This window comes from Homo sapiens, chromosome 1 (genome assembly GCF_000001405.40).
Source record: "Homo sapiens chromosome 1, GRCh38.p14 Primary Assembly".
In the NCBI taxonomy this organism is placed as follows: Eukaryota; Metazoa; Chordata; class Mammalia; order Primates; family Hominidae; genus Homo; species Homo sapiens.
Genome location: NC_000001.11, coordinates 28,986,258 through 29,005,244, shown reverse-complemented (window position 1 = coordinate 29,005,244; position 18,987 = coordinate 28,986,258). Strand labels below are relative to the sequence as shown.

General features: G+C 39.3%; 1 protein-coding gene across 70 annotated transcripts in view, besides 1 other annotated feature; it reads right to left on the bottom strand.

The window, feature by feature from the left end:
* EPB41 (erythrocyte membrane protein band 4.1) overlaps positions 1-18,987 on the bottom strand; it is a 232,942-nt gene that overhangs the window by 114,797 nt on the left and 99,158 nt on the right. For 59 of the 70 annotated variants that reach the window (NM_001166005.2, XM_005245760.2, XM_005245753.2 and 56 more), the window contains exons 2-4: positions 17,340-17,814; positions 11,703-11,915; positions 7,926-8,030 (exon numbers count right to left, since the gene is read on the bottom strand). In NM_001166005.2, the coding sequence (NP_001159477.1) occupies positions 7,926-8,030; positions 11,703-11,915; positions 17,340-17,807 (786 nt within the window). In that variant the 5' untranslated portion in view covers positions 17,808-17,814. Of the gene's footprint in view, positions 1-7,925; positions 8,031-11,702; positions 11,916-15,809; positions 15,890-17,339; positions 17,815-18,987 lie in introns of all 70 variants that reach the window. The other 11 variants (NM_001376022.1, NM_001166007.2, NM_001376024.1 and 8 more) reach the window with 4 other exon arrangements.
* Positions 1,394-1,688: a silencer, noted in NCBI's record as "tiled region #9156; HepG2 Repressive non-DNase unmatched - State 16:ElonW". NCBI's record gives its function as "represses a minimal TATA promoter and a strong SV40 promoter by Sharpr-MPRA in HepG2 cells {active_cell/tissue: HepG2}" and the evidence as "EXISTENCE:reporter gene assay evidence [ECO:0000049][PMID:27701403]".

Sequence of the window (18,987 nt, the reverse complement as noted above, 5' to 3'; positions counted from 1 at the left end):
CCCTCTTCCTCCTGCTCTGGCCATGTAAGATGTGCCAGCTTCCCCATAGTCTTCTGCCATGATTCTAAGTTTCCTGAGGCCTCCCCAGAAGCTGATGCCACCATGCTTCTTATACAGCCTGCAGAACCATGAGCCAATTAAACCTCCTTTCTTTATAGATATTTCTTTATAGCAGTGCAAGAACAGACTAACACCTTTCATATCTTCGGCAGCATTTACAACCTTAGGTCATAATGTTTTAAAAAAAAGAACTCCATTCCCCGAGTTAGTCATCAGCTACCCTTATATGGAGGTCCTAAAACCCCCACGCATACACATAAGAGATTTATACAAATCCTTGTCTTTTGAGGTAAAAGACTTTTGTACAGCTCCAGAAGTCTATCTGTCTTAACTCAAGGAATAACCTTATTTATGCTGCTGTTAGGATGTTGACTTCAAATCACTGCTCCAAGTTATGTTATAGAAACTCTAGAGCACAGGTAATTCTAGGTCTCATTCTTTAAGTACTAAGTTAAAACACAAAAAATAAGAAACAAAACCCCAAAAAACCACATTTAAATTCATTAGAGGTGTTGACCCAAATCTCTGTAGCAAAAGACAAGATAACAAATGCAGCCTCCCTACTCTGCAAGTATATTTACAAAATTCCCCTTCGTCTTTCTAATTTGCCAGACAATAAAGATACAACCATGACTGCCACTTGCCTTCAAGGCCAGTCATGAATCAATGAGAATCAATCCTTTCAGATGACTATAAACTAAATTACTCATACTCTTTATTTAATAGTCACTCCATTGGTGTTTGCTCTTTGCCTGTGAAGGTGAGCAAAAGACTTCTGTTTGACTGATGATCTTTTCAGACTGATTATCTGACTCTAAAGGTAAGAAAATTCATCCACACAGAAAATGGATGGAAAAAGACAATGACTATATACCATTGAATTGCATGTAGTCCTAATTTAAAATTCTCATTATTTACCAGAAGAGCACAAGTTTTCTGCTTAGAGATGAAATTTGGAGGGAGATGGAATTAATGTAAGTGACTTCTCTCCCAAGGAAAAAATCCTTGATCCATTAATAAATAATTATAAGCAGGAATAAAATATAGGAAGCAACTATTTAACTGACAATTTTGATTCATAGTGGCAACAAATCTCTCACAGAACTATAGAAGTTTGCTTCTGGGCTGGGCGCAGTGGCTCATGCCTGTAATTCCAGCACTTTGCGAGGCAAGGCAGTTGGATCACCTGAGGCCAGGAGTTCAAGACCAGCCTGACCAACATGGTGAAACTCTGTCTATACTAAAAATACAAAAATTAGCTGGCTGTGGTGGTGGGCGCCTGTAATCCCAGCTACTTAGGAGGCTGAGGCGTGAGAATCGCTGGAACCTGGGAGGTGGAGGTTGCAGTGAACTAAGATGGCACCACTGCACTCCAGCCTGAAAGAAAAAGAAGTTTGCTTCTTACCGCTTTTCCACTTGTCTTGCCAGACCCTAGCAATAGGCCCATTATCACGCAGTCAGTAGGAAAAGGGAACAAGCAAGCCACTCCATATGAGGGAAAACTTTCCTCCCTGCTAAATGTACTCAATTGTCTACAAACAAAGCACAAAGCTCTTAATGACAGAAGTTACATATACAAAGGACAAATCTTTACATATACAAAAAGAAGACACCAGAGAATGGAAAGAACAGAAAACAGTTGTCTCTCATTGTATTATGGCTCACATTTTTTTTCTACAACATAAACTAATTCTGTAGAGGAAACAAAAAAACTACAGATGAAATGTAAAAATCAAGGAAAGGAGTAAAAAGCTAAAGAAGAAAATAACTTAGGAAGGGGCAGCAGGCAAGGAGCTACAGGAGTAAACTGACTGTGCAACTAGAGGATGTCACTCTGCCTTTACTCACTCTGTCACGCTGTGCTTCAGTTTCCTCATCTATAAAATGGGGGGATGAGCCCCCAGAGCCTGTATAGCTCTATTACCTTCTGTATTTTCAGAATGGCGGAAAACTTAGATGACCATGATTTACTATGAACTTTACTGATTCAATCATTTCACAAATATCTGTGTACTTCTAGAGAAGGTCTTATCTAGAAATTTGGCTTATTGACAGTACATATACATGGACTGATAGTGTTAAACAAAAATTATGGAAGGCCATTGTTTTGGTCTAAGCTTCTTCACTGGCTCCAACAGATCAGGCCAAACAAAAATGGAGTCACTCATACTAAATACCACATAATCAAACTGAAACCTAAAGGAAGTGGGTAGATGCTAAACAGACCAGTTTTTCCTGAAAACAGGAGATTCCAGTCTACCTGAGTCAGTTTAACAAGAAAGTCCTCTCTGCTTTAGCATTTAGAAGAAAAGTAACTTGATGTAAACTAATCAGCTTTTTCCTATTACTTGGTTTCCTTATTCCTACCTTACAAAACCCACTGTTCTGCCATTGCTTATTGGGAGCCCTCATTCTATTTTGTAGAATGAAGGCTGCCTAATACATGAATCACAAATAAAAGCCAATTAGATCTTTAACTAAATTTGTTGTGATTTTATCTTTTTCCAATAGCTAAAATAAAGCCATATAGTCTTGCCAAATACAATCAATTTTAAGTAAAAGATACACTGTTCTTTTGTACATCCTACCTAAGAACAGGTAGAATATTCAACCCGAAGGATGCTCCAGAATGCATCTCTAGATTATGACACATAAATCTTTTCTTTTAAAGCCAAGGCCTTGATTAATTGGTAATTTCATTTTAAAACAATAATACTATCTTTTTTTTTTTTTTGAGGTAGGGTCTTATCCCTGTCACCCAGGCAAGTGCAGTGGTGTACTCATGGCTCACTGCAGCCTCACCTTCCCAGGCTCAGGTTATCCTCCCACCTCAACCTACCGAGTAGCTGGGACTAGAGGTATGTGCCACCACACTCAGTTACTATTTTTTCATTTTTGGTAGAGACAGGGTTTCACTAGTCTCAAAACTCCTGGGCTCAAGTGATCCACTTGCTTCTACATCCCAAAGTGCTGGAATTACAGGTATGAGCTACCATGCCCAGCCAATAATACTATCATAATAATAATGATAACACCTTATTTTTATTGAATGCTTACTACATGTCAAGCATGATTCTACATGCTTTCATACAGATTATCTCATTATCATTCCCATTTTACCAATGAGAAAACAGAAGGACAAGTAACTTATCTAACTTGCAACTAGTATGTGGCAAAGCTAGTCTCTCAAGTGTAACAATATGTCTCACTCTTTCAATAAACATTTGTTGAATGCCTACCACATTCAGCCCAGGCAATATGCTAAATTAACATTCTTTAGGAAATCAGTCTGGTAAAAAATAGACGTGGGCCCAGAACAATAGATGAAAATCAACCCACACCAAGATATATAATTGTAAACTCTCAACTTCGTAAGGACAAGAAAAAAGAAAAGATCATACTCGCTTGATTGTGTAAAGGAGGAGGGAGACGAACAAAAGTCATACAAAAGATCAAAAATCAAAATGGCTCTGGCCTTTTCAAGAGCAACACTGGAAACTAGAAGACAATGAAGCAATGCCTTCAAAATTCTGAAGGCAAATAATTTCAAGCCTAAAATCCTATACCCAACAAAATTCAAAATCAAATGAGAAGGCAGAATAAAGCCATCTTTTCAGACATGTAATGTCTCAAAAACGATTACATCCCATGTACCATTTCTGAGGAGTAGCACTCTATCAAAACACAAAGAAAACCAAGGAAAAAGGAAACAGGAGAAACATCACAGGAAAGAGGCAAAGCACATCCCCAGGATGATAGTGATGGGAGATACCAGGGACAGCTGTATATAAAACAGACTGTGATACCCATCCAGACTAGACAACTGTGACTTAAGAGACAGCATGATTTTTTTTTGAGACGGGATCTCGCTCTGTTTCCCAAGCTGGAGTGCAATGGCGTGACCTCGGCTCCCTGCGACCTCTGCCTCCTGGGTTCAAGCGATTCTCATGCCTCAGCCTCCCGCATAGCTGGGATTACAGGCATGTGCCACCATGCCTGGCTAATTTTTGTATTTTCAGTAGAGATGTGGTTTCACAATGTTGGCCAGGCTGGTTACGAACTCAGGTGATCCACCCAGTTCAGCCTCCCAAAGTGCTGGGATTACAGGCATGAGCCACCACACCCAGCCAAGAGACAGCATATTAAGGAAGGCCTGCCATCACTAAGGTGTTTTTGCTACTGTACTGACCCTTTAACTTGACAATCCTAAGATGAATCTTCCCCAGATTCATTTTTGTACAAGATTTACCTGGGCCATGTGCTAATGAAGTTCCTACTTTCCCTTCCATGCTCTGCTTCTTAGATCAGCTAAGGACTCTCGTTTTAATTAAAAATAAAAATTAAAAAAAAAAAACAACACTCTGTTTTGACTTACTTCTGAGCTGGAGGTTTACCATGATAAACTTAGAAGCATAAAATATAGAGTAGCCCATTCCCTTTGACAATGTTCCCGCTGGATGTCCTATAAGAACCTGGTCCATACAGACCTGTCGATGCCCTGACTATGATAAGGCCAATTTTTCCCAGGATTCACTTGCCCACTGACTTCCCCAGTAGGGGCTCTTATAAACTATCAGGGAAGTTGAAGCCAGATTATGATTCAGAGGTACCAATTTTTCTTTTCCAAAAATACTTACAGGGAAATAATGCCCTTTTCTTACACAGCCAGGTTTGTACTTTGTTATTAAGCTTTTATATTAAGCACTTTTAACAACACTTTACACATAAATATATAGGTGAACATAAATAAAGCAATTTAACATTTGCTCATTAAAAACTAATTACGGTTGGGTGCAGTGACTCACGCCTGTAATCCCAGCACTTTGGGAGGCCAAGGCGGGTGAATCGCCTGAGGTCAGGAGTTCGAGACCAGCCTGGCCAATATGGTGAAACCCCATCTCTACTAAAAATACAAAAAATTAGACAGGCATGGTGATGCATGCCTGTAATCCCAGCTACTTGGGAGGCTGAGGCAGGAGAATTGCTTGAGCCCAGGAGGTGGAGATTGCAGTGAGCAGAGATCACACCATTGCACTCCATACTGGGTGACAAGAGTGAAGCTCCATCTCAAACAAACAAAAACTAATTACAATAGTGGCAAGGCATAGTGGGTCATGCCTGTAATTTAGCACTTTGGGAGGCTGAGGCAGGAGGATTGCTTGAGCCCAGGAGTTCAAGACCAGCTTGAGCAACATAGTGAGGCCCTGTCTCTACAAAATATAAAAGTTTAAAAATTGGCCAAGCATGGTGGTGCGTGCCTGTGGTCCCAGCTACTTAGAAGACTGAGGTGGGAGGATCGATTGAGCCCGGAAAGCAGAGACTGCAGTGAGCCAAGATCGCACCACTGCACTCTAGCATAGGCAACAGAGTGAGACTCTGTCTCAAAAAAAAAAGTGAAAACCACTATAAAGAAAATAAACTTGGTGACAGGACAGAATATAAATCCCAACAATGGTGAAAAGTTTTCAGTGTAACTGAAAATTTTTGTCCCAACGTGGGCCCTAGAAGCTCAACTGTAAGCAGAAATTATTTCTTCTGCTGAATGGCTTTAGATGAGCCAGCTTCTAGAAATGTATAAGTATGCTTAGATCACAGAAAAAAATATTTCCAGCCATATTAAACACGTAGGTACTTGGTGACTTTACATGCCAAATTAAAGGATTCTTAATTATTCTCAAATCAATCTGGGTTTTTTTTTCCCCACAATGTAACTATTCAATTTCTGGGAATCAAAATTATCTCACTGAGCTTACATAAAACACTTTTCAGAGTATTTCCCTTGATTCATGGGAGAATTTTCTTTTTTCTTTTTTTTGAGATGGAGTCTCACTCTGTTGCCCAGGCTGGAGCGCAGTAGCACAATCTCGGCTCACTGCAAGCGCCCCCTCCTGGGCTCACGCCATTCTCCTGCCTCAGCCTCCCAAGTAGCTGGTACTACAGGCGCCCGCCACCATGCCTGGCTAATTTTTTGTATTTTTAGTAGAGACAGAGTTTCACCGTGTTAGCCAGGATGGTCTTGATCTCCTGACCTCGTGATCCGCCCGCCTCAGCCTCCCAAAGTGCTGGGATTACAGGCGTGAGCCACCACACCCCGCCAATTCATGGGAGAATTTTCTAGCTCACAGTTGTAGAAAGTTTTTCACTGTAGTTTTGAGGGCATTGTTTTGTTTTTAAATTAACTTCAATGTTCCCTTACTAATGGGAAATAGTAGTTTCAATTAAGGCTAGACTTTTTCAAATTATTCATTGAAAAATTATAGTTGTATATATTTATGGGGCAGAAAGTGATGTTATGATTTTTTAATACAATGTGAAATGATCAAATCAAATGAATCAAACTATCCATCACCTCAAATATTTGACCTTGTGATGAGAACATTTGAGATTTACTCTCTTCGTGATATTGAAATGTACAGTACTCAAATATTAGCTATATTTACTAGTACAAGCTAGTTTGAGCCCTAAGGGAGACAAAGTAAAGGTTAAGTCTTTAAAGAATAATATTAACCTAGTGCTCAAACATAGTTCTGTTTGAGTTAGTAGTCATTCATAGAAGGAACAAATTTTTGTAAACTACTAGGTATAGTCTAGAAATAGATTTTGTTTAGGAAAAGGATAATTCCATGTCTTCTAGTTTGCATTATCTAACTCACACAACCTAATCTACAATTTGCAGATGTTGAAGGCTGCTGCCCTTCAACTTTTCTTAATAAACTGAAATCATCTTGGAGAAAGGATGAACTTAAATGGCTTAAATTCAGTGTCTACAAGACTCTCTCCACGATTCCCCACTTTACACCCACCCCGCAACCTGGACGTATACCTGTCCAGATTCATCTGTTACTCTATTCCTCATATCCTATGTTCAGCCAGGCTAGATGGCTTTCAGTTCCTGAACTGTCAGTCTCTCAACTCCAGGTCTTACACAAGCCATTCTCTCTCCACCTCACTTGCTCATTTTATCCTTCAGGTCTCTCTCAGCTAAGGCATCACCTCCCCAGAGGAGACTTCCCGGGCCATACTCTTCCCTGACAACCTGTATTTCCTTTTGTATAGCGCTCATCAAACCAGTAATTAATGTTATCTTCATAATAAACTGGAAGTTCCAGAGGGCAGGGACCATGTCTACCTTATTCACAGCTGCATCCATATCATCTAGTACAGCACCTGCAAATACTTGTTAAACTGGACTAAAGCTTTCATCATTATATTTATGTTAAATATTTGCAATTTTCAATTAATTGGCCCAGGAAATAATTAAAGTGTTCTGAGGTAAATACCTGACTTTTAACCTTTCTTCCCTCCTCCAAGTCCATTCTTTTACCTCCTTCAAAAGTTAACAATGGTTTCCTTTTAGGTTGGAGGAAATGTCAGATTCATCGTTATGACCGTTTCAATAATATTGGGATTTTATTCTGTTTCATAATGTTGCTTTCAAATTATAATTATATATCATAATTATATTTAATTATGATATGTCATTATAATATTAATAACAGATCATCCATTCAACAAATATTTGTTATAAACCTATGCATTAGATACAATACCAATTGCATAATATATTAAGTTATTGACATCTACAGTACTTGCTAATCAGTGCATCATACCTCTTTATTTTCCTTGCCTTGTAAAAACATACAATATATACTTTATTTCAATGATGAAAGAATACACCAGCAATGGTCTTTCCTTTAAAATGTTAATTCTAGAAGAAAAATAGCAGGAAAATCTAAGAAATAAGAGTAGACAGGAATAACTCTAAGAACACTGGCTTAGAGAAGCAGGTATAGATACATTCTTAACAACAAAAGAATTAAAATAAATTTTTTGTCAGCTTCTTAAATTGCAAGCAGTCTCCTCACCTTAGAGGTTGCGTTATCCCAAATGGCTAGACCAAAATAGTCTTCTTCCAAAAGATTGAGATGCTCACATACTCGTTTAAGCAAATCTTGTCCCTTAGCATGTTTCTGCAAAGATATACGTGACTTAGTTGAGTTGAGGTTTCTTCTTCTTTTATTTTTTCCCCAAAAGAGATGGGGATTCACTCTGTTGCCCAGGCTGGAGTACAGTGGCCTGATCATAGCTCACTGCAGCCTCAACCTCCTGGGCTCAAGTGATCTTCCCACCTCAGCCTCCAGAGTAGCTAGGACTACAGATGTGCACCACCATGCCTGACTAATTTTTAAAATTTTTTGTAGAGAGAGTCTCATTATGTTGCCCGGGCTGGTTTTGAACTCCCGGGCTCAAGTGATTCCCCCGCCTCAAGTGATTCCCCCGCCTCAGCCTTCCAACGTGCTGGGATTACAGGTATGAGCCACTGCACCTGGCCTGAGGTTTCTTCTTATTTCTACACCCATCATGAAATAAAATAAAATGTCACTTTCCGATTTCTTCTTTCATCTTTGGTGATCAACAAACTTTCAGGTGGCTACATAGTTTAAGCAGAAAATATGATTTATAAAATTCCTGTTCTTCAATTTGTCAGTTTACATATGTAATACACATATACTAGTTTAGAAATTGTGTTACAATTCAAAGCAAAATTCTACCTTCCTTCCATCTCATATTCCCCATCTCCATCCTACACATCACATTCTTCATTTTTGGTGCAATATATCCTGTAGCATGCTATGAGCAACTGTCAGTTACCGTGACTACTTAAATTACTGAATCAACTGTCCAGAGTGACATTTAATTGTGGCTGTGGAAATCATTAGACTCTATCATTTTCAGACCAAATGTCCCAAAGAAAATGAGGTATGCCTCAACTCCCTACAATCTCTTTCAGAAAAATGAATAAAGTAAAATTCTAGATAGCCAACAGACACTACCTGTTGAAGTGGCTCCTTCAGTGGTGCTAGGAATAATTTTCTTAATGTTTCTTAACCTAGAAAGTCAAACCATTCCCAAATTTGGGTTCTTTTACTCCTATTTATAGGAAGAAAATACCCTAACTTAAAGACTGAGATTTAGTCAGAAAGTCCTGGCTCCTCCATTTACTAGCTAAACAAGCTGAGTAGATTCAATTAACTTTTCTGAACATTAGTTTGCTCAGCTGTGAAATGATAAGAATATTTACACTCATCCTACCTCTTTATTGGAATTGTTTAACAATAATCAAATATGTGAATGTCTTCTGAGAAATATATATGAAAATACTTCAAAAAATTAGAATCATTTTTTGGGCAAACATATATGACATGTCCTCCTCTCAATGAGATGAGTTATTTTTAATGACTATTAATAATTCACATAAATGTTCATTCATTGTCAGTCTTAACTCATCCATATCAAATAATTTTCTTTTTTTCTCCCATGTTTTCATTCTAAATGACAGAAGATGATTTGAAAATGCTTCATGTATTTTCCCTAATCCCTTATTCATAATTCTAAAATCCAAATGGCAAATTTTGACTTGAACTGTAAAGAGACTATTTATAATCTTAATTTATCCACCTCAGAATGAATCTTCATATCTTTTACCATAGAAATACTATGTCTGATCATGTGGGTGCTGCTACAGACACTGCTGGGTTTATTATAAAATATGCAGAATATGTACTTATTCCCTTGCTAAACTCCAAAATATTCTGAATTCTAGTTTTTATTTTGTTTTGTTTTGAGACGGAGTCTCACTCTGTCGCCAGGCTGGAGTGCAGTGGTGTGATCTCAGCTCACTGCAACCTCTACCTCCTGGGTTCAAGCGATTCTCCTGCCTCAGCCTCCCAAGCAGCTGGGACTACAGGTGCGTGCCACCACACCCAGCTAATTTTTGTATTTTTAGTAGAGACGGGGTTTCACCATGTTGGTCAGTATGGTCTCGATTTCTTGACCTCGTGATCCACCTGCCTCGGCCTCCCAAAGTGCTGGGATTACAGGCATGAGCCACCGTGCCCGGCCTCAAAATATTCTGAATTCTATGACACATCTGTCCCCAAGGGCTTCATATATAAGAGATCCATATCTGGATCTTGGTCTGAATGGGAAGAATAGGTGTAAAATAGCTTTCCCCATCTCTAAATTAGTTAGTGCAAGAAGCAGAAAAAGCAGACCCTAAGGCTCTAGTTAGGTGTATAGTACCTGTTTCAAAGTACAATTACATCTTTCTTGATTTCCTTTTTAAACTTAGAGAATACCTATTAGTAAATATAGCATAATATTTTAGATGATTTGTGATTGAACATATTTACATTTGCAAATAAATAATGTGATTAAGAAATAAGGCTGGGTGCGGTGACTCATGCCTATAATCTTAGTACTTTGGGAGGCTGAGGCAGGCAGATCGCTTGAGCCGGGGAGCTCAAGAGTAACCTGGGCAACATGGTGAGAACCTGTCTCTACAAAAAATATAAAAAATTAGCCAGGTGTGATGGTATGTGCCTGTAGTCCCAGCTACTCAGGAGGCTGAGGTGGGAGGATCACCTGAGCCCAGGAGGTTGAGGCTGCAGTGAGCTGTCACTGCGCCACTGCACTTCAACCTGGGCAACAGAGCAAGACCCTGTCTCAAATAAATAAATAAATAAATAAATAAATAAATAAATAAATAAAATAGTTTGTTCCACATATATGTGAATTACACACTTTGTCAATAAAAGCTGTTACTAGTAACAATTGCAATTGCTTATATATCAAGCATATCATAATAAACAACTACTGTTCCAGTTTGAAAAATATATAGTTAGTAGATTTTTTTAAAATTTCAACTTGCTCTGGCCGGGCGCGGTGGCTCAAGCCTGTAAACCCAGCACTTTGGGAGGCCGAGGCGGGCAGATCACGAGGTCAGGAGATCGAGACCAGCCTGGCTAACACGGTGAAACCCCGTCTCTACTTAAAACACAAAAAACTAGCCAGGCGTGGTGGCGGGTGCCTGTAGTCCCAGCTACTCTGGAGGCTGAGGCAGGAGAATGGCGTGAACCCAGGAGGCAGAGCTTGCAGTGAGCCGAGATTGTACCACTGCACTCCAGCCTGGACGACAGAGAGAGACTCTGTCTCAAAAAACAAACAAACAAAAAAAAAATTGTCAACTTGTCCTGAAGGAGCAAAAAGAGTAACTGAATAACTCTGATATTTTTCTTCAATCCTGATTCAATCACTTATTCTTTCAGAAAACAGAAAATTTTAAGAAATGGCATTTACTGGACTTAAAGACTTACTCATCATCTTCCCATAATCCCACCTCCAGAAAATCACCATTAATACTTCCATCTACAGAAATAATCATTAAAGGCCGGGCGCAGTGGCTCATGCCTGTAATCCCAGCAATTTGGGAGGCCGAGGTGGGCAGATCACTTGAGGCCCGGACTTCAAGACCAGCCTGACCAATATGGTGAAATCTGTCTCTACTAAAAATACAAAAAATTAGCCTGGCATGGTGGCACATGGCTGTAATCCCAGCTACTCGGGAGGCTGAGACAGGAGAATCACTTGAACATGGGAGTTGGGGGCTACAGTGAGCCAAGATCATGCCACTGCACTCCAGCCTGGGTGACAGAGCAAAACTCTGTCTCAAAAAAAAAAAAAAAAAGAAAAAAGAAATAATCACTACAGTGAGTCTTATCGTGGGCAAAATCACCACTTACGCAACTCTAGATGAAACCACCTGTAAGAGTTCTGATTGTTGGAAATGAAAACATACTCACCTCCACAACACATTCATAAACTGTGTCATCCAACAAAGAAACCTTGCAGTGCATGTTCCTGTGTTTTCTGATTGGTTTTTGGGAAGCTTTTAATTCTGTTTCTGCTTTTGATTGAGGGCTTTCTTCTTTTACTTCTATTTTGGAGCACTCTTCAAGTCCTTCTCCTTCCTTAATTTCAAAATCTGGATCTTCTCTGAGTTCTTCCTGAGCAGGCTACATATCCATGACATCGCCAAGTCAGTAATAAACACATTTCACAAAACATGCTGTATATGCTTTTACCTATAATAATCTTACCAATAAAAGCATGAACTAAAACAAATATAGGTGACATTAATATTAAATATTTTTCTATAAAAAATAGTATGATCCCCCAAATGCCCTAAAGACTTTGTTATTAAAACTTCTCAGGTAGAATCCCATCAAATCAATAAATGAAGGTCTCAGGTAAACCGGAGGATACCAATCCATTGCTCTCAGCATTATATATTCTTCCTGACCAAGCCATTACACGGTATTATTAAAGTTTAACAAAAACGTTATTGTCTCTGCCCATGCTCCTCAATTTTAGCAATGTAGCCTTACAAACTGCAAAATAAGATGTGACTTGTTACATATTCTAAATTTTAAATTAATTTTAATTCTAAGAGAAATGCTTGGGACCAATTTCACATCATTAAGCAAACATGTAGTAGGCTAAAAATTTTAACTACCAGCTAACACCTTTCTACCCAATATTAATCATGTTAAATGCAAAGAAGAGTCAATGAAGGAAGAGTTTCCTGGTGCAATCTTAAATTATCCCCAAATAATACCGATAAGTAGGATAACATTTTTGGTATACATTTTTTTTTGAGACGGAGTCTCACTCTGTAGCCCAGGCTGGAGTGCAGTGGCGCGATCTCGGCTTACTCCAAGCTCCGCCTCCAGGGTTCAAGCGATTCTCCTGCCTGGGCCTCCTGAATAGCTGGGACTACAGGCGCCCGCCACCACGCCCAGCTAATTTTTTTGTACTTTTAGTAGAGATGGGGTTTCACCACGTTAGCCAGGATGGTTTTGATCTCCTGACCTCATGATCTGCCCGCCTCGGCCTCCCAAAGTGTTGGGATTACAGGCGTGAGCAACCGTGCCTGGCCGGCATACATTTTTACTTTTACTTTCAACACAACAAAACTACCGACATATTTTTATCTAAACCCGACTAATTATTTTCTTTTAAAAGAATATGTTACTTCCTTGTGTAACAGCTGGAAAACAATTAAAAGAAAAAAAGAATGCATGGTTGACAATTAGGAAAAAGAAATTAATTATTTGACTCCTGCATTAAATACTGGAAGTAATCTAAAAGACTCCTTCCGATCTTTCATGACCCTCTCACTGCAACCTCAGGAAGTCTCTTCACTGGCTATCCTATCTATCTATGCCCGCTCTACTGTCTTTCATATCAGTACTCTGGTGGCTTTATAACTTATTACAATAAATAATTATTTTTATTTGCTACTTTTTTGTCTTCTCTATTAAAGTCCACAAGGGTAGAAATCATGTCTGTTTTATAATAATAATAATACCAAACATTTATACAACAATTACAATGGGCCAGTCACTATTCTAAGAAAATTACTTATGTGAACTAACTCAATCCTCATAACTACCCTGCGAGGCACGTAGTATTATTATATCCCCACTTGATAGAGGGAGGATAATAGTACCTGGCCTGCAGGGTTGTAAAACAGGCCAGAGAAATTAAGTAACTTGCCTAGGATCATACAATTAATAAGTCACATACCAGTCTGGCTTCAGAATCCACGATTTGTTTTTTTTGCTTTTTTTTTTTTTTTTTGAGACAAGAGTCTCACTCTATCACCCAGGCTGGAGTGCAGTGACATAATCATGGCTCAATGCAGCCTCGACCTCTCAGACTCAAGTGATCCTCCCACCTCAACATCCCAAGTAGCTGGGACTACAGGAGAGCCACCATGCCTAGCTAGTTTTTTACTTTTTTGTAGAGATGGTGTTTCTCCATGTTGCCCAGGTTGGTCTCGAACTCCGGGGCTCTAGTGATCCTCCTGCCTCAGTCTCCCAGAGTGCTGGATTTACAGGCATGAGCCACCACACTCAGCCCCAAAATCCATGATTTTAAACCTCTTCACCATATTGCAGTTTTTATTTACCAAGGTATATCCAGCCTAGGGCCTGGCACACATGGTAGGTTTTCAATAAATATTTGTTGAATGAATAAACAAACATTAAAAATTTACATAGGCTTCCAAAAAATCCAAGCTACTCTGGATGAAGACTGGTACAATCCTATATTTATATATATTATACACTTAAATGTAATATAAATATATATTTATATATTTATAATATAAAGCAAACACGCTTTTTAAAAAATTCTGGATAAAAAAGAACCATTTAAATAAAATCCTATTACATATACAGAAACATGGTTAGGCAAATAAACCTTTATCCAGACGACTCTGATCCACAAGGTTTTGACTATAAATATTAGTTTCCAAAAGGCCTAAAATAGTTTGTTCTTTTAAATAATATCTCCTTGAAATTTTACTAACAATATCGTTTCTTTTTCTCCACATGAAGACAAATAACCTACGGACAATTTATTTCAATTCGGAATTAAATCTTAATGAATGAGATTTTAGTTAAATCTAAAATTAACTGTCCATCATCTGTGTCAACTTGAGTACGAATCTATGAACTTTAGACAATGCAGACAAGTTCTGATTCAAATGTTAACTAAAACAAGATATGGATTTTCCCCTATATAAAGCTGAAGGAGAAAAAAGCAGTTAAAAACCCCTTGAGGCCAGGCACAGTGGTCATGCCTGTAATCCCAGCATTCTGGAAGGCTGAGGCAGAAGGATTGCTCGAGTTCAGGAGTTCAAGACCAGCCTAGGCAACAAAGCAAGACCGTCTCTACCAAAAAATTTAAAAATTAGCTGGGCATGTGGCATGCACCTGTAGTCCCAACTACTCAGGAGACTGAGATGGGAGGATAGCTTGAGCCCGGGAGGTTGAGGCTGTAGTGAGCCATGATCACACCACTGTATTCTAGTCTGGGTGACAGAGAGAGACCCTGTCAAGAAAGAAAGAAAAAAAGAAAATAAATAAAGAGGGGGAAGGAGGGAGGGAGGGGAAAGGAGGGAGGCAGAGGAAGAGAGGAAGGGAGGGAGGGAGGGAGGGAGGGAAGGAAGGAAGGAAGGAAGGAAGGAAGGAAGGAAGGAAATTTGAAAAACTCTTGAAAGTACCAGGCTTCCTGAAAGATAATGTAATTTTTTTTTTTTTTTTTTGAGATGGAATCTCGCACTGTCACCCAGGCTGGAGTGCAGTGGCGTGATCTCGGCTCTCAGCAAATTTTCCTGCCTCGCCTTCCGAGTAGCTGGGACTACAGGTGCCCGCCACCACGCCCAGCTAATTTTTTGTATTTTTTGTAGAGACAGGGTTTCACCATGTTGGCCAGGATGGTCTCAAACTCCTGACCTTGTGATTCGCCTGCCTCAGCCTCCTAGAGTGCTAGGATTACAGGTGTGAGCCACTGCGCCCGGCCGATAATGTAATTTAATTCTTTTGGTATTCCTAAAATAAAATGTTATTAAGATATGAATGGTTTCTTTGCCTTTACTGTTTGTGTTTATTTACTAGCTAACATTCATTGAGTATTTATTAAATGCCAGGCAATGTTTTAAGAGCTTTTACCGGTTTCACTCTTTTAATCCTTTCAATCCCAAATGAGGTGGATATTATTATCCCCATTGTACAGAGGAGGAAACTGATAAAGTGAAAAGTGTCACTTTTCTTCGATTTGAACCCTCTAGTCGGATTCTATAGCTTGCATCTTAACTATTACAGAACATAGTAAATCTTGTTTTCAACCTTGTTTCACTAACAGCAAGTGTGCAATTATAATTTTATCCTAAATTTTACCCTCAGCACTTTGAATATACAAGTAATAGTTCTAGAAATACATGTAATATTCTAATAAGACTCTAATAAAACTATGGAGTCCAAATCTCAGACCTATAATAGAAACATGTAGGACTTTTACTTTTTTCCCCCCAACACTGTCAGAGTTCTAGAAGGACTTACACTTTTAACGATGCAGATAATATTCACATGCTTCAGAAATAAGAAGACTCTGAAAATAATTCTTAATTGTAATGGTGAGGCTGAAAATAAATGACATTCTCAGAAAATAGTCTGAGTTACAGTACTAATGTTTTCCCATTTTTTGGGACAAATAAACTCACAACTCGTGTTTAGTTTAACAACACTATGTCACAATTAAGGCCCCAGACTAATATACATTACACAGGTGATAGAAAGAGCTAGACTTCCTCATCTGTATCTTACACTCTGTGGCAATATGCTCTAGTTAAAGAAGATGATCAAAATAAGGTAGACATGACTTGAATCTATCACATACCTTCAAAGGGCTTGAATTCATCACACAGCTTTTAGGAAGATTTACGTAAAAGAACCACATCTGCTGATAACCGTCCTGTTCCTAATAATTCCACAAAAATGAACTCTAAACCATCTCATCTTTCTTTTCCTCTCTCATGAGAAATCTTCAATTTGTTCCATTATTATAATAAAATGATATATGGGCTGAACACATTGATTTGATACTTTTTTTTTCTCTACTATTCTTTGATTTATAAACAGTAAATGGACAGGCATGGTGGTACACACCTGTAATGCCAGCTGCTCAGGAGGCTGAGGTGGGAGGATCACTTGAGCCCAGGAGTTTGAGATTAGCCTGGGCAAAATAGCAAGACCCTTTAATACATATAAAGTGTAAGTAACTGTTTAAAAAGTAAGTTTCCAATGACTACATTAATTTTTTTAGAGTAGAAACTATAAGCCGGGCATGGTGGCTCACGTCTGTAGTCCCAGCACTTTGGGAGGCTGAGGTGGACAGATTACCTGAGGTCAAGAGTTTGTGACCAGCCTGGCCAACACAGCAAAACGCTGTCTCTACTAAAAATACAAAAATTAGCTGGGCATGGTGGCCAGCGCCTGTAATCCCAGCTACTCGGGAGGCTGAGGCAGAAGAATAGCTTGAACCCAGGACGGGGAGGTTGCAGTGGGCCGAGATCACACCACTGCACTCCAGCCTGGGTGACAGAGCAAGACTCAGTCTCAAAAAAAAAATAGAGTAGAAACTATAAAGCTTTATGATGCTACTTATCACTATCAATGCCTAAGTCAACTAGCTAGTAAGAAATAAAACCAAGTACTTTTTTTATCCCCCCGTTGTTGAGACGGAATCTCATCCTTGTTGCCTAGGCTGGAATGCAGTGGCACGATCTCAGCTCACTGCAGCCTCCGCCTCCCGAGTTCAACTTCTCCTGTCTCAGCCTCCTGAGTAGCTGGGATTACAGGCACCCGCCATCAGGCCCGGCTAATTTTTGTACTTTTAGTAGAGACAGGGTTTGGCCATGTTGGCCAGGCTGGTCTCGAACTCCTGACCTCAGTTGATCCGCCTGCCTCGGCCTCCCAAAGTGGTGGAATTACAGGCATGAGCCACCGCGCCCAGCCCAAATACTCTTAAATGAAAAATAAAGTGTATAACCTGCCTTCCTTTGCCCACCTCCCATATCCACACATCCTTACCTGTGTTTCTGCACTGCTTAATGAATGAAGATCCAAAGATGGGTCTGTTTTGAGTTCCGGTTCAGGAGCTGCAATTGGGGCCTTTAAAATGATCTCTTCATCAAGACTGGTTCCAAATTCTATCTCTTTCTGACCTCCTTCACCTTTTTCTTTATCTGACTCTACTTCTTTGCCTTCTTCCTCGGACACCTGAGATTTGGGCCTTTTGAGAAACGAGGAGAATAGTCGTGAAAGTCCTCTGCTTTCTGATGTCCGCTCCTTGTTCTTGGTCAAGTCTTCATGTGTAGGAGTGTCTCCATTAGAAGCTTTCAGCTTCTGTTCACACCAATTATCTCCTTCAGCTGCTGTTTGACAAGATTCCTCCTGCTGAGGTTCTTGTTGGCCTGAGTTTATGGCTTCCTCACCCTCTTCCTTCTGTTGGTGCTGTGAATTTTCGGCCTCAGTCACTAAACTCTTCTCTGTTGTCATGATGTTGCTATTAAAAAGAAGATAGAAAAGGGGGGCTCTTATAAGCAAAACACATTACTGTTGGCAAAACCCTAAACCCTAAAAAATTAATATACTTAGGTATTTAATTGCCAACAAACAGAATTCAAACCCATTAAACATGAGACTTTCCATTAAATTACAAAAATATCTTATCTACACATCCTGAATAAAATATTAATGCCTTGAGTCACTAAAGATATGCACACAGAGAGAGTAGCTTAAAATAGTACCCACGGAGGCCACCTTAGTGAAATACATCACATATTAAATCCAATGCCTAGAACTGTATACAGTAAATACAGTTTTATCCTTCCTTAAAAAAGGACTGTGGTTTAGTGTCCTTTGAGGGTATCAATCTGAAGGTGTAGGATTTGCAGGAATTATTCCCTGCAAAATTCTCCACACACCAAGAGACGATGAAATTTAAAAGTTCCCCCAGTCTTTATTGTTCTTTTTCTTTACATTTCTTAGGATGCAGAGACTTCTCTATTAAAATTGCAAAAGTAAAATTCTGATAGTTTGTTGTAAGACTGGATAACAGCAACGACAAATATACAGTTGAAATACTGCAAAAAATTTCCTTAGGTTTTCATGTTACAATTCCAAATTACAACCTCTTTCAGAGGTATCCCTTTTTTTTTTCCTTTTTGTGGAGAATGGGGTCTTGCTATATTGCCCAGGCAGGTCTCGAACTCCTGGGCTCAAGCTATCCTCCCGCCTCTGCCTCCCTAAGAGCTGGGATTACAGGCGTGAACTACCGCACCCGGCCAGAGGTATCCCATTTTAAGCTCTTTCAGTCTCTTTTTTCTCCTGATAAACATGATTTTGAAAGCTCAGAATTTTTAAGAGTAGGAAGTGAAACTAACAATAGAGAAAGGAGATAGAGAAGAAAAACTTATAAAGCAAGTGTTGATTCACTCGTAGGGGAGGAGGAAAGAGCAGGCAGCTGACCTTACATATTTCAAACATCTTGGCTTCTAGCCTCTTGATCTCAAAATCCCAGTATTATAAGTCAAGCTTCACAATAACAGCCAACGAGCATTGTCACGTCTACTTTACTAAAGAATAACCAACACACGTGGGGACTTTGAAAACACTGGGCAATGAAGTCGACTATTGATGACCTTATGCTTTGATTCACTGCTATCACTAAAAGTAC